The sequence below is a fragment of the Homo sapiens genome, chromosome 4 (genome assembly GCF_000001405.40).
Source record: "Homo sapiens chromosome 4, GRCh38.p14 Primary Assembly".
NCBI lineage: Eukaryota > Metazoa > Chordata > Mammalia > Primates > Hominidae > Homo > Homo sapiens.
The window spans coordinates 94,248,971-94,265,225 of record NC_000004.12 but is presented as its reverse complement, the minus strand read 5'-3'; the positions used below and the strand labels follow the sequence as shown (position 1 = coordinate 94,265,225).

Sequence of the window (16,255 nt, the reverse complement as noted above, 5' to 3'; positions counted from 1 at the left end):
GTAACTAAAACCACTTTTTCAGTTTCTCTGATTATATAAACAATTACCTGTTATGAGGCAAAAAAGACACTGGTCATATAGTATCATACCATCCCCCCCTTTAATTTATAATGATATGATAGAATAAAATACCCTACTTGGGGGTGGGGGAAATCAATGAAAAACAGTTCATAGTCCACTTATGTGCCATTACAGAAAACCTGGGGGTTCTCTCCTACCACTAGTTGCCATATCACTTTCTAGGCACGATACAGAAATAAATTCAGATATTTTGTATAATTGAGATAAAATACGAATAAATATATTCAACAAAGATTACCTTTGGTTTAGAATGGAAGGTTGTTCTATGTTCCATCCACCTCCATTTCCAGTAAGCATGGTAACTTGTTTGGTCAATTTATTTGAAATGTCTTCACATTTGTTCATAAGCCTTATAACTACATCTCTTTCTTGGATCAGTGTTTTACAGTGCCATATCAAATCTTCTGATAAGCCATTAGTTTTGGACATCTTTGTGAACTATAGCATAAAAAGAAAAATAATTGAATAGTTCAGATCTAGGAAAGAGAAAGGCAATCCTGATTTCTTTATGAGGAAAACAAGTTTGCTAATTTAAACTTTTACTTAATGAGCTTATAGTCAACTACTAAGAGAACCTGATTCTTCATGTTTATATTTGAGTTGCTACATGTTTCACTTTTATATTCTACTGTCACACATCAAACTCATTATGTTAAAGTAAAATATATCTTACCTCAAAAAATGCATAATCCCAAACTTGTTACTTTGACCCTGGCAGCTATTCTCTTATAAGAGAAACATTCACAAGTAATTGTTACTATCTCCTATCAAGTTTTTAAAAACATTTCAAAATCTTAAATTCACTTTTCCCTAATACCAAAGGTAATAGTATCAAATGTAGTCACTGCAAATCTGATCTCTCACCTCTACTTGTCATTTCCTATGACTATTACATATTAAGATTAATCTTAAAAGATATTTTTCCACATCTATCATCAAAGTATAGCCCCTCAAGTTTTCAAAACTCTAATTATTTGTCACTTGATACTTTACTTCTAAACAGACTATCACACGGAGAGATATCACATGAATCAAAAGTTAACTATGACCAATTCAATAATTAGATAAGGTTTTTAAAAACCAATTTCAATATAATACTATAAATGGTTCTCTGTGAAAACTCACAGAATTTCTTTCAAAATATAGTTGTATTTATTTTTCAAAAGGAGGCACTGAATACTTCATATGTAAAAGCTATATCAGAACTAGAATTTTTCAGATAGATAGCTGAAAATATATATTCTATAAAACATGACAAAAAATATTTTTAGTGGAAAGGATGAGAAAGTCCAAAAGCTATTTGAAATACTTGGGGCAAAAATGAAAATCCCATAAGCCAGAACTAAATCTAGGAAACTAAAATAAAACCATCTATTAGGAAAATACCACACGATTTTTATTCATGTCATCCTATTTAGCATATTTTTCCAAGTTATGACAAGAATCACATTAACAACTCTAAGTAATCACTGTGATCACAGTATTTCTAAGTTCAGCAAAAAGCTCAAGCAATAGTAATTAAGTGCTTTTTGGATATACTAAGATAACTAAATAAAATACAGTTTATAGCAATATACATTTTCCATATTTATCCTAGAATAACTTGGAAATATACAAAATATCCAATCTATTCTTAGCACTTCAAAAATGGCACTGTTAAATACTAAGTTTATTTGCATACTACTCTATATTTTTCACAGGGACAAAATTCATAATCACAATATGATCTCCTACTCCCCCTACTTTGTGCTTTTCAGGGGAAAGATCTATTCATAAGCAGCAGTATAGATAACAATCAGTGTCTTAAGGAGGTTCTATTAGAACTTTTAGCTAAAATACTTTTATTTTTAAATGCAACCAAAAATTATAGGCCATAAACCAATCTCATGCTGATTGTAGTATGTGTGTGTAATACATTGAAATGTGAGAGAAACCCAACAAATTAATCAGGAAATAAGGAATGAACATACATTAGGTGCCATTTATGTGCTAGTAACTATTAGATACCTTTTATTCAGTAACTCATTAAATCCTCGTAACAACTACCAAGACTAGCCTACCAAATCTAGATGAAAAAACTAAGGTTCAATTTCCAACATCACAAAGCTGGGTAAGAGAAAAATTCCATGCCCTTTTCACTGTATAACTAGTACCTCCCTAAATAAAATAATTTAAGACCTTAAAAGTTCAAAATACACTTTTTTTTTTCTGTAACCAACTACCATTTCTTTTCTTTCTTTTTTTTTTTTTTTTTTAACAGAAATTACTGTAACTGTTGAATTATCTGGGAGATAGACACAGCCCTGTCCTTGTGGTCTACGAACATTGGGAAACACAAGTAACAATTTCAAGCATAACCTCTGGTATAAACAAGGGAAACAACAAAAGTTCATGGGCACTCATCACAAAAAGACTAATAAAATCTAAGACCTAGTAATTCCTTATGGAGTAAGAAGCCAGAAATAATAAAAGAACTGTTTTAATGGAAAGATAAATTCACATGTCAGAACCTAGAGAAGCAACAGACAAGTCTGAACAGGAAGGCAGTAAGGGTATGAATCATTTTAATGCGTTCTAAACTGAACTTATGGGCATTAAAAAGCTATTGAAGGGTTTTAGAGAGTTCCTGTTTAGAAAGAACTCTATGAGAGTAATGTGAAGAAGGCTTGAGAGCAAAAAACTATTAAGAAGGCTTTGAGTTGAGAGACAATAGTGGTCTGTGTTGGACACGGAGAAACTGATAAGATTCACGATCTTCAGGAGGTAGAACCCATTAAGTGTGGGGAGATGAATGAAGAGTTAAGCCTGACTCCCAGACTTCTGGCTTCAATGCTAACAGATTAGTGGTACCATCTATTGAGATTAAAATTTACCAAGATGGCAAAGGAAGTCTGTTTCTGGATATATTAAATTTGGGGCAGCTACCAAATTTTCGAGAAAGAGCCAGTGGTTAGTTAAATAAAGATCTGTATCTTAGGGAAGAGATGTAAGCTGGAGAAAAAGATGCCACACAGGTGACCATCAAAGTCAAAGATGCTGATGAGATTACCTAAGGAAAAGCACATGAAATTGGAGATTAGAAGACTGAGAGCAAAACCTTGAAGAACACCAACATTTAGAAGCATTTAAAAAGACAGAGCAAGAAGAAATGTAGGATGTGGTATCAGAGAAGCCAAGGAAGAAATAATTTCAAAAAGTGAAGTGTTAAGTTTTAACTGCCAAAAAACAATAAACTGGCCGGTTGTGGTGGCTCACACCAATAATCCCAGCATGTTGGGAGGCCAAGGCAAGAGCACTGTTTGAGCCTAGGATTTCAAGACCCGCCTGGGCAACATGGCAGAACTCCATCTCTACCAAAAATACAAAAAATTAGCCGGTGTGGTGGCACGTGCCTGTGGTCCCAGCTACTCAGGAGGCTGAGGTGGGACGATGGCTTGAGCCCGGGAGTCAGAGGTTGCAGTGAGCCAAGACGCCACTGCATTCCAGCCTGGGTGATAGAGTGAGACCCCGTCTCAAAAACAAACAAACAAACTTAATCTTTCACCAATTATAATGAATTTATATAAAATACACCACATGGTAAATAATTTCTATAGTATTTCTCATGGACAGTTCTGAGTAATTAAATACGTAACTATTCACAGTGGTTATAAATGTATAATTTTATTCATAATAGTTATGCTTTGAAGATATGTGCCAGAAACACATGGAGAGGTAAATATTCATCTAATAACATATTCACAATTCGGTAGAAATCTAAAGATGTTACTGTATTGTTGAAGGTTAGTGCCTAAGCATATTATGAGTTTAGTGATAAATAACAGTCAATATTTTCTGAGAAACAGATAAAAAGTAAAATGTGTACTGTGAAGATTCCTAACATGTAAGTCACACAACCATTATTAAGAAAACCAATGTTAGATTATACTAAGTGGATATATTCAAAGTGAAGCTGAAGCACACTGAATCTTTATAAAGCAATTACAGGTTTCTTTTTTTTTTTCACTTAAAAAAGAATATAGTACTATTCAAATATTTTCAAAAGCTGTGTTACACGAGAGGTAACTCTGAAAAAATTAGCATATTGTGATCTAATCTGTCATTATCATATTTTCTGCCACTGAACAGCTTTTTGAAGTGTAAAATTTCCTTCATAGCTGAAACTTCCTAATATAAAAAAAATTACAGCAGACATAAATCACAAATTCACTTAAGCTGTACCAATTTACACATTTAAGTTTGATGTCTTTTTATTTATTAAAAAAATTTTCTTCCTTTTACTTATTTTTTGAGAGCATAAATTAATTATGGTCATTTGGAAGCCACAAGAAAGGGTTAAAAGGTGGGGGTGACCAATCACTTTGAGAGCTGGAAAATTAAAGGAAAGAATAAACATTTATTCTGAATTTTGTATATGAACGGCAACATTTAGAGTGGTAGATGTAAGAAGTTCTTTTATAGATACTTCCTCAACAAGCAGCAATAACAGTATTAAAATATTATTTTTGCAGGCCAGCATGGTGGCTCACGCCTGTAATCTCAGCACTTTTGGGGCCGAGGCAGGTGGATCACTTGAGGCCCCAGGAGTTCAAGTCCAACACAGTGGAACCCTGTCTCTACTAAAAATACAAAAATTAACTGGGTGTGGTGGTGCACGCCTGTAATCCCAGCTATTCAGGAGGCTGAGGCACAAGAATTTCTTGAACCCAGGAGGCAGAGGTTGCAGTGAGCCAAGATCACGAAACTGCACTCCAGCCTGAGTGACAGAGCGAGAGACTGTCTCAAAATAAAAAAAAATAAAATAAAAAGTATTAATTTTGCAATGGCTAATGAATTATGGATCCAGACATGTAGCATCAACAGATGCTAATGTTACAAAAAGTAACAATCAGATATTACTGTCTTCTGATGAAAGAACACATCACTAACTATGTAATAATATTGGTGGGTGCATTTAACCTTCTAATGATCGTTTTACAGAAAGTACTAGTCCAGTGGAACATGTTAAACTACACTGGGGAGGTATAATCAGAAAAGTTTAGACAGGAGAGTTATAGAACAAATGACCCAGTTTCTTTACCAAAAACTGGAAAAACAGAAGGGGGAGAGAGAGAGGGATGAGGAATCTACAGATTAAAAGACCTATCAAGCAATCTTAATAAGTGGACCTTACTTGGATCTTAATTCAAACTAACAAACTATAAAACAAATGAACAAACACTATGGCATTTATGAGACAACTGGAAATTTGAACTCTGAATATTTTGATATTAAGACATTATTGATGATTTTTATTAGATATAAGAATGTTATGGTTTCTTCAGGAGATACACATTTAAAATTATAAGGATAAAATGATGTCTGAGATGTGCTTCAAAATAATATGATGGAAGGAAGTGGACAAGAGTATGGAAGAAACACATGGGGGTTCATTATAACACTGTGTGCTTAAATTTCTTGTAATAACAAAATGGGGGAGGCAATGAAGGGGAGTACAAGGTCATTCTTACTTCAGGACGCTTTAACAGTTAAGGGTTGGTTATGAGATTTTTAACTGAACTTCACTTTTTGGTTATTTTGAAGTTGAAATTTCAGAACAACTCCTTAGGACCCCTTAACACTCCCTACCTCTCCCCTCCCACACAGGTAAACCAACTTTAGAGATGATCAAAATGACTGCTGCTGATTTAGAATTTAGATCTATCTAATAACAATCCACTAACCACGAATGTAAAACAGCAGTAGACAGTTTTTTAAAGGAAAAAGAGTTTAATTGAATGAATTTACTGTGATTAGATTCTGCTGTGACAGTAAACCCAAATATCACAGGTTTAAATAAAGTTATTAATCTCTCATGTAAATAAAAATCTGAGGAACTGATTCAGATTTGGTATGTTGCTTCCAAAATTAAGGATTCTTCTAACTCTGTTGCTTCAATAACCTCAACATCCACCATCATATTGACCCTTCTACCGGCAGGAAGAAACAACACTTTCCAAAAGTTGTAACATACCACTGCTCACATCCCATTGGAATGAACTTTGTCAAACGATCACAAGGGAGGCTAAAACAGTTAGTCTTAATATATTGTGGGTAATGTGCCCATAAGCCCAGCCATAAATCTGATTTAAAAAGCTATAGGGTGGGCATGGATATTTAACAACAACAAAAAAAGAAGAATAGTTTGATTTTAGAAAGTTTGATTCAATATGGCTAGAACTTAGTGGACAAACAGAAAACAACAAATAGTTTCTTGGCATTTCATTAATAATATACACAACACTTGCAATGCAAATTATTGTGAATATCTGCAGCTAATGTTTTTAAAGAGCCAGGCAACTGATGGCATTTAATTTTTAGACTTTCCCATAGGCAGGCACTATAATTACACCCCACTTACAGATATTTGCTTACAGATATGTAAGCTGTTAGAAAATGACAGACAAGAATTCAAAATCAGGTCATCTAGCTTCACTATGTTATTCATCTATCACCTAGTATGCACTTACAAAACCAATGGAATAAAAAAAGTGGCATGCACTGAATTCAGAAACAAGAGACTCAAAATGAGAGAGACAAAAGGATTCTCCAGGATGACAGGAAAATGAAATGCTAAGGCCACTTCCAAATCAGAGCAGGTGATAAGATTCCTGATTTTCTAAAAGAGATGAAACTGACAGATTACCAGAGGTGTCTAAAATCTGACAGGCCCAGGTAATCCCAGCACTCTGGGAGGTGGAGGTGAGCGGATCACTTGAGGTCAGGAGTTCAAGACCAGCCCGGCCAACATCATGAAACTCCGTCTCTGCTAAAAATACAAAAATTAACCGGGTGTGGTGGTAGACGCCTGTAATCCCAACTACTCAGGAGGGTGAGGCAGGAGAATCGCTTATACGTGGGAGGCAGAGATTGCAGTGAGCTGAGATCGCATCACTGCACTCCAGCCTGGGTGACAGGGCAAGACTGTCTGAAAGAAGGAAAAGAAAAAAAAAAAATCTGATGGGAAATTTAGGCAACTGGAAAAGACTTTAGAGTTGACCTAATGACAAGTATATAGGAAAATAAAGAGAAAAACCGAGACAAATAACAACTAGGAAAAAAAATGAGAAAAAAATAAAAATCATGTAGTACACTACATGGTTCATCTATGAAAGGCATTTGCATAGTCATAACAATGTAGACACTAAAAATGATCTTCAAAATTACCATATTAACATATATTAACAGAACTGGGGAACAGAAAATGGGCATGTGAAGTGAGGTAGACAGTGAGAACTAAATCCTATTGTCTATAATATTAAGTTGATAGATAAGACCTACAAATGACAAAAAGTGCATTATAACTATATTACATAAAGATATGGAGGTGATCAGAACAATGAGACAAAAAGTCATGAAAGAAGTTATCTGCAGCATGGGCAACAGGCTGGGGAAAAGGGTGGATATAGATTTTTTTTTGTGGGGGCGGAGAACAAGCCTATAGAATTATTTGTTAATCTAAGTATATGTGTAAATAATAAAAGTATAAACATTAACAAAAAGTAAATAAACAATTTGGGGATGGGGAAAGAGGGGCTCTCACTTAAGGAAAGATGTAAGAACACTCTACTGCCACCATGTTACTGTTTTCTGAACACAAAAATCACTTAATCCTGTAAGTTACTTAACTTTCCCCCAAAAAAGATTTAAGAAATACAAAGTACCCTGTAAATGTGGGATCTATTAGTAAATCTGAAGTTACTGAAAACCACAGAAAAGATGATCCTGCTTACATGGTATGAAGTATACAAATGTATACATAAATAGATGATGCTCAAAACACCTTAAATGGTGGGTATCTTTGGTAGAATTTGGGGTAAACTTTACTTTTTCATTTCTGCACATGCTGTTTCAATTTTAGGTAAAACAAATCATTCTCAAAAAATGATAAATCTTTTTTTCAGGAGGAAGAAAGTTAAAAAGCTAATTGCTACTTCCTGAATAATTACATGAAAAAAACTCATCAATATGGCCCCAATCATATCTCTTCATTAAAAACTCAAGTGACTACTCAAAGGACTTTTTTCTTTCAAAAACAGTCAGCATCTGAAGTATCACTCTCTTGCCACAGTGTGTCACTCTTACTGTACAGATATTTTTGAATTTCCATAGGAAGGAGGAAACTGTTTAAAAGCAGATTTAATTTTCAAATCATTAAATCCCCACTTACCAAAAGACAGCCCTGAGGACAGAATCCCAAGCTTATTCATTATTATAAATACCTGGCAGCAGCCTACAAAGTACTCAAAATGTACTTGCAGATTTTTTTAATACAAACTTATCAAACTTACACAAATTAAAACAAAGCCTGAATATATAGTAATCTTACAAATAAATTCACTGGTGCCACCTTATTCAGAAGGAAGAAATATGTATTACCATGCTTTAAGTGGCCAATTTAGGCCAGGTATTTTACAGAAATCACCAGTTAAACAAAGCAAAGGACCAGATGCAGTGGCTCACGCCTGTAACCCCGGCACTTGGAGAGGCCGCAACAGGTGGATCACCTGAGGTCAGCAGTTCCAGCCCAGCCTGGCCAACATGGTGAAACTCCATCTCTACTAAAAATATAAAAATTGGCCAGGTGTGGTGGCGGGCACCTGTAATCCCAGCTACTAGGGAGGCTGAGGCAGGAGAATCGCTTGAACCCGGGAGGTGGAGGTTGCAGTGAGCTGAGATCATACCATTGCACTCCAGCCTAAGTGACAAGAGCGAAACTCTGTCTCAAAACAAAACAAAACAAAAACCAAAAAAGAAAATCCACAGTCTAGTAGATGAGAGTAACATAATGAGGAGCACAGTGTGTGACATGGACTAAACCTGAGTTGCTTGGTTATCAGCCAAGGAAAACTGGATCTACACTGATCTAAATGTTAACAAAGTAGATGCATATATGAAAGTTTCCAGGTTGAGTTACTGATGCATGTCGCATTGGTCAGCATAAAAACATTACTACTCTGATTAACATATAAAGATGCAACAGAGTAGTATTTTTCACAGACATAATAATATCCCCTCCCTACTGTGTGCAAGGCTAGACAAAAATCCAGTAAGTGGATGGTGAACTGATGCCATCAAATGTGTGAAATTTGGCAATAAAAATTCCAATTTTTACCACAATAACAGTACAAGTTTTTAAACTAATGACATTTTTGGCTTGCTGTATTTCTGAACCCTACTTGATTTAATGATGAGGTTTTCTCACAATAGGCACCTACATTACTGCTATTATGCAGAAAAACTGTAAGTAAAATGGAAAAAATTATGAAGAAAAATTTAAAAACAATATTTAAATTTTGACTAATAAATGATTATAAAGCTGAAGCATAAATATCCTTTTAGGTAATATACTTTAAAAAAAATCAAATTTTCCTCATGTAAAATGAGGGTGACTAAAATCTTGAGTATTTTAGTTTCAAAAAGCATAATTATCTGACAAATAAGTCATAGTAGTATAGAAAGGTAGTAACCTCTAAACTTACTGAAATTAGATTACCAAGTAGGTAATATTAATAAGTATATTATACTTACATTTTATATATATCTACTACACTTATATTACATTTATATGTCTACTACCTTGAAAACAACCCAATGATCTACAACTTTTCAAATGTTGTTTTAAAAGGCACAATATAATTTTCACATTCAAATTACTTTTATAATAAGACAATGAAATACTAATGATTACATTTAATCATTTAATAATCACCAACGTTAAAGAAACCTCACTTTTAACAAAAATTACTATTGTATATATGTACTTTATTCACGGGCTCAAGTATGCATTTTTTAATGAAATATTTATGAACTTTACAGTTTGTAAATAGAAATTCCCCAATTCTTAAGACTAAGTAAGATTAAACAATGATTTCAAGAAAGAGCAGACTATTTGTTAGCAGGTTGTTCTTAATATATTTAATACCTTGTAATTTTCATTAAAATATGACTGAGCAATATGATTAAAACCTCAACTAATTCTCAAGGAAATTTCTAAATATGGCAGCTATCAACACAAAACAATTTTTTTGGCTTTTGTTTCCTTTTGAAGTTGTTTAGAGGTACATTATCAAACCTCACTGATTAACAGGGAAAAAGCAAATTATATAGCTTTTAACTAAAAAATATGCATAATATTGACTTTTGATAATTTTATTAAGATATTAAATCTGCTCTAGGGTAGGGTTTGGGCTAAAAAAGTACTCTATAAATAAATCACATTTAAAATTCTAAAGGTTTTTAAAGTAGGAGCTCAAAGTTCTAAGCAAATTAAAATTTAAAGCATATCTGTATTTACTTGCTAATTTACACTATTAATTTGAAAAAGCTCATTCACCTACTTTGCTGTCTTCACTGAACTCAAGTAGAAAGTTTACTTTTCAGATACATTTAGACTGTTACATAAAATATTTCACATTTGGATGGATGGTTAGAACAAACAATATAGTCTTTATGTTCAACTTTTAGAAAGGGGCAAGATGTTAGGAGGTTTAAGTAAGTAATGCATAATCTCCAAATTCATGTCAAGACTAATTTAAACTCTGCTGATTAATTAGTAGGGGAAATATGCTTTCCACATGTTAAGTTGCTGAATATTTTTTAAAAACATCTGGCACATATACCTCTGGTAAAATTGTATAATTTACTTTTACTATAAGATATTCGGGCAAGTATTTACAGCAACTAAACAAACTAGTGCAGATAATTGCATATCTTATTAAATAAATTAGAATCTCAACAAGCCTGAGCAACCCAACTCTGCAACAACATAAGAGACCATTAAAGATTAAAAGAAAGAAGAAAAGGAAGAAAAGAAGAACAAGAAAGCCCTTCAGCAAATACTTTAACAAATAAATCACTCAGGCAAAGCCAAACAAGTTTTGAAAGGGCCTGCTTTGACAGATGTTCTCTGGAAAAGCAAAGGCTTCAGGCAAAACAAATGGTTTTATTATTATTTTTTAAAGCTATGGAATATTATTAATGTTGTTTCTGTATTTTTCAAATATTTTAATTAAAAAAATGTATTTACAACCATTGTTCAGGGACTCTCCCCTATTGCCACTTCAAGACACTTATCAGGGCATTTAATGCTCATTTAGATTTGTTTCAAGTATAAAATTAACCACAAAAGCAACTTTGCTCCCTAACTTAGGGAATAAAACTTCCTAAAAAATTTTATAAAGCATCAAGAGTCGCTGCATCTTTTAAAGCTGTAAAAAATCATCCATATTGCTTTTACAACAGGCCTATATACAATTCCTGCTATAAAAGCCCACGTAAGGGTTGAAGCAAAATTTAAGAGTTCTTATATTTATCTGTATGAATAAGATTTGATGACTGTTGGCATTCATAAAACTCAAAATGCAGGTATTCTGTATACAACCTGTTTATAGAAAGTCAAATTCCAGAAAATGATCATGCAAAGTGTACTTACCAGTGCTTATGCCTTCCCTTCACCTAACGCTTGAATTATAGGCTTCCAGAAATTTTTCTATCTTTCCAATTAAAAACGCTGCAGCCTGCTACACTCCATAAAATGGCCACGTTGCTTAACCAACAAAAACATGTTAGAGACTGAGCTGTTACTTTTAGAAGAAAAAAAGAAAATAAACAATTGCTTCTTTTGTGGTGAAGCATAAAACACTTAGGCTGGCATTTTGAATCATGGAGCTCCCCTGGCCGTTGCTATTGCTCTTCAAGTAGTTGTAGTAAAATTTCTGCCACATTCTTGCTTTCTGCATGGTGTCTCAGCAGTAACAGATCAGAACAGGCTAGCAAACAACTCCTTCCTAAATGTAAGCTCTAATTTCTTCTTCTGCAGTGAAATGAACGAAGTTTCTATGCAAAGGAATGAGTGACAGTATTCCCAGCCAATCAGCTTGGGTTTTTTCAGGAAAATCACCCCTTAATTCATTCAAAATTAGGTCATATGACACTATTTGAAATACTATTGGCTTACAATGAAAGTAATGTTTGACTTTACACAGGATAAGGCCACCCATCTATGCTTACCTGGGCTGAAGACAACTTGACTATAACCGGTACTGTGAATTAAATACACACACACATACAAGGGGAAAAAAAGAATAAAGCCTTACCAGAGCCTCCCAACTATTAAAGGGCCGGAGTTCTGTTATCTTCTGAGCCTTTTTCTGAGAACACTGAGGAATCAAAGTAAGTTCACCAATTGAAGCATCTTGAAGGAAGTGAAGAATTTTACCTTTATAGCCATCCTCCATCACTTCTTCACCACTACTATAGTCCTCATCTAGTGAACTACCGACATCAGAACCTGAATCATATTCAGAGTCTTCAACAACTCTCTTTGGATTAAAAACATTTTTTTTACGTTTCTTGTTAAAGCCATTTTGTGCTTTCATTGAAAATTTCTGTTTTAGTTTTGTTTTAGTTGCATTTTTAGGGTAATTTTGACTTCTTGAAGAAACTTCTTTTCCATTTGGAACCTCACTTTGTGATACATATTGCATATCTGTATATAAAAGACAAAAACAGTAACTAAATTAGAAATACATAAATATAAAGATAGACTTCAAATAAAAACTTAAAACATTTACCTATTCCTATTGAATACAGAAGAATTCAACGACAATTTATTGTTAAATTTGATACACTTTAAAAATACTTAAGTAGAATTTGAAGTTAAACAATTGTTTCAAAAGCAGGTGATAACTTGTTTTTAAAATGAATTAAATATAAATCTCTGTTTTCTAACAAAGGTCCTGAGAACACAAATGGCAGCTGCGTATCTGTATGATGTCTCAGATATTCCTAGCAGCCCCACTCAACTATGCCAACACTGAAGAATATAGCAGAATGATGCTTACACTACTATAAAGCTTACTAATAAAAAGTGTGTATGTTTCAACTATCCATAATTTTCCAATACTATCTTCAATATTCTAAGTTGCATCGTTACTTAAAAAATTATTCAAATAGGCTGGGCATGGTGGCTCACGCCTGTAATCCCAGCACTTTGGGAGGCCGACGCGGGCAGATCACAAGGTCAGGAGTTCGAGACCAGCCTGACCAACATGGTGAAACCCTGTCTCTACTAAAAATATAAAAATTAGCCAGGCATGGTGGTGCATGCCTGTAATCCCAGCTACTCAGAAGGCTGAGGCAGGAGAATCGCTTGAACCTGGGAGGTGGAGGTTGCAGTTAGCCGAGACTGTGCCACTGCACTCCAGCCTGGGCGACAGAGCAAGACTCCGTCTCAAAAAAAATAAAAAATAAAAAAAATTATTCAAATACAGTATTATCAAAAAGCCCCACTACTTTATCACTGATTATCAGTTTACAGAATTCTAAGATGCCTGTGAATGAAGGTAACACCATTATTTTATGTACCAGTGAGAAAACATGCACCAATCTATAATACAATACTTTATTCAGAAATTTTTACTTACTCAGAAAGCTATTAGACTTACACAGATTATCATACCTTTATTTTTGTGCATTTATAAAAAATAAGCAAAATGAATTGGCTAAAGTATTCCTCAAATGTTTTCACATTCATAACATGGCTCTTCTGACTCATTTTTCAAACTCATATTTGGTGGCTTTCTTTTTGCCACAGAATATCATTTTCTGTGCCATCAACAGTATTGGTAGTATAGCCTTTTAAAACAATTTATTAAAAACAAACAAACAAAAAAACCCAAACCAAAACACCAAAAGCTACCATGCTGGGTTTGCAATTATGAAGAGCTAGTCTACTTGATTCTTCCTTAGGTATGTTACTAAACATGTATGACTCAACTCTTCCTTACCACCTCTCCTCTATCATTTGGTTCCTAGAATTAAGAGTGTTCCAAAATGTGTTCATGCCTATGATACCCTTAAGTTTTTGATGCTAGTGCTTTTGATATCTGTGCAAGTATAGGCTAAGACATCTACATTACAGTAATGACATGATATCACCAATCACAAGATCCATCCTGACAGTTGTTAAAAAGGTTATTTTACACTCAATAAAACATGGCAATTTAAAAGTAGCCTTAACTATTAAGAAAGACTGAACAAATAGAAAAAGATATTTATTGTTTTGTTTTACACTATGATAAAGAACAGGCAGGTCAAAACATTTAAAAACTGGTTGTTAAAGAATGTTTTTACATCATTACTTTCAACATCTTTTGCAATCCCACCCTCTGATTAACAGCTAATAGCTTTTCTTATATACCATTTTCTTATATACTAAAATACAGACTATAATGAGAAGTATGTATTTTCTATGACCCAGAATAATTACCTTGGTCTTCTGCAAACACTTTTAGAGATTCTAAAGCTTCTGTGTACATCCATTCATGTTCCTTGAGTACTTCTCTAAGTTCCTAGAAATAAGTCATTTATCTTTTTGTTAAAAATCTCAAATTAGCAACTTGCAGAAAACGTCTATGCTCTTTTAAAAATAAGTTAATCACCTGAAAACAGAGAATTCACATCTGATTATTTTGCACTTGTTTTTACACTGCTTTACAAATGCTTTCTGTGTAATTTCACCTCCACAAATACACAATAGTCTTCAAAGGAAAGAAAACTTGACATTTTTTTGCATTTCTAATGCTCACTATGAAGTACTGTGAACACTAGAGGATCAAGAAATGTTTTCTCAATTAAAAATGAAATTTCAATATGCAGCTAGGCTTTTACAAACTGCTAACTTCAAAACGTAGTTTCAACAAAGGTAAAGAACCAATATTGCAACAAGATTTTGCATTCAGCTCATCAGAATTTAGTAGATGTACTATCTGAACATATATACTCAAATAAATCAGTGCAAGTGTAAATGTACTCTAAATGCTAAACAAATATGTGCTTCTATATATGATCATGGGATTAAACAGAGGGCCTTTTAGCAACAGGATGCGTGGCATGAGTCTTTTTTTTTAATGACTCTGAAAACATTCTCACTATCTGGGAAGTAGTAGAAAGCTTATAAAATATTAAGACACTGAAATGGAATACTTTTTAAATTCTTGTAAGAAATTTCAAGAATGAGAACATGAAAAAAACTAAGCAGTTACTTGATGGGGGCAGGGTTACAGATGACTTTCTAGATGACTTACATGTTATAAATGAGTTCACAATTTTTATTACGGTTATTTTTTAATGACTTAGGGATACAGTATAGATACTATAGTAAACAAGGTAAATAAACAACATAAATAAACAGTATGAAAATACTTTATAACATTGATAAAAGGAGAACATTTAATTAGAAGAATACAAAACTCACCCTAAGCTTTTATGTGGTTGAACTCTTAACACTATTTTATAATAAAAACACTTAGTACACACTGATTAAATTTTCATACACGACTACTCACCTGTTTATCAAAATTGGGAAATTCCTTTTGCAATTTCAGTACAATACTTTCCTGCTTTTCCCAATTACTGCTAGATTCTGCAGACTCATTTGATTCCTCTCCCTAATGGGGAGAAAAAAAAAAGAAAACAATTTAAGAGATATCAATAACAATGGTCTTAAGGCAATTATCATTGTATTTTGACTTGATCTGAAAATTATCATCATCAGTCAGAAGAATCCAAACTGTTTCTTTTTGTTTCTGTGAACATTGACATATTTATGTCTTTAAGGATGAAAAATATTGCTGACTTAAGATCACTGAAAGACCCTGATTGCATATCCGGTAACTCAAACTTTATTCTCAGTGCTTAAAATGAGATAAATCTCCTAAAAAACTAGAATGATCCTCAAATTAACTCAATATAATTCAAGTATACTGATGCCTTCTCCAAGACAACGGTAAATTTTAAAAGGATACAAATATCTCATCTATGTTCACTATTATATATCCACCTATAAATTTCAAATTCTGAGAAGAGTTTACTTTTACTTCACTCTTGATTCACAGAATGGCTTAAATATTAATTGTTCAGTCACAACATAAAACTGAAACAATGATAAAAGGAATTTAAGTGGAACTAAATAATGTATAAACCGAACAGATTAATTAATATGAGAATTGTGGCTATACATAGTCTCACTTTTCCTTCTTCTCTGTCACTTAACTTCACTTGAAGAAACTGGTTAAAGTCCACATTTAAGCAAAAAGAAAAGACTCCTTGTGTTCATGCATAGGAAAAATTT

General features: G+C 33.4%; 1 protein-coding gene across 32 annotated transcripts in view; it reads right to left on the bottom strand.

Annotated features, from left to right (window-relative positions):
- Window positions 1-16,255, bottom strand: part of SMARCAD1 (SNF2 related chromatin remodeling ATPase with DExD box 1) — an 83,685-nt gene that overhangs the window by 26,067 nt on the left and 41,363 nt on the right. For 28 of the 32 annotated variants that reach the window (NR_164736.1, NR_164729.1, NR_164722.1 and 25 more), the window contains 4 exons: window positions 15,471-15,572; window positions 14,393-14,474; window positions 12,219-12,610; window positions 320-519 (listed from right to left, as the gene is read on the bottom strand). Coding sequence is in view for 11 of the 32 variants with exons in the window: in NM_001128430.2 (NP_001121902.1) it covers window positions 320-519; window positions 12,219-12,610; window positions 14,393-14,474; window positions 15,471-15,572 (776 nt within the window). In the remaining 21 variants the exon portion in view is untranslated. Of the gene's footprint in view, window positions 1-319; window positions 520-11,554; window positions 11,918-12,218; window positions 12,611-14,392; window positions 14,565-15,470; window positions 15,573-16,255 lie in introns of those variants that run through there. The other 4 variants (NR_164724.1, NR_164737.1, NM_001375859.1 and 1 more) reach the window with 2 other exon arrangements.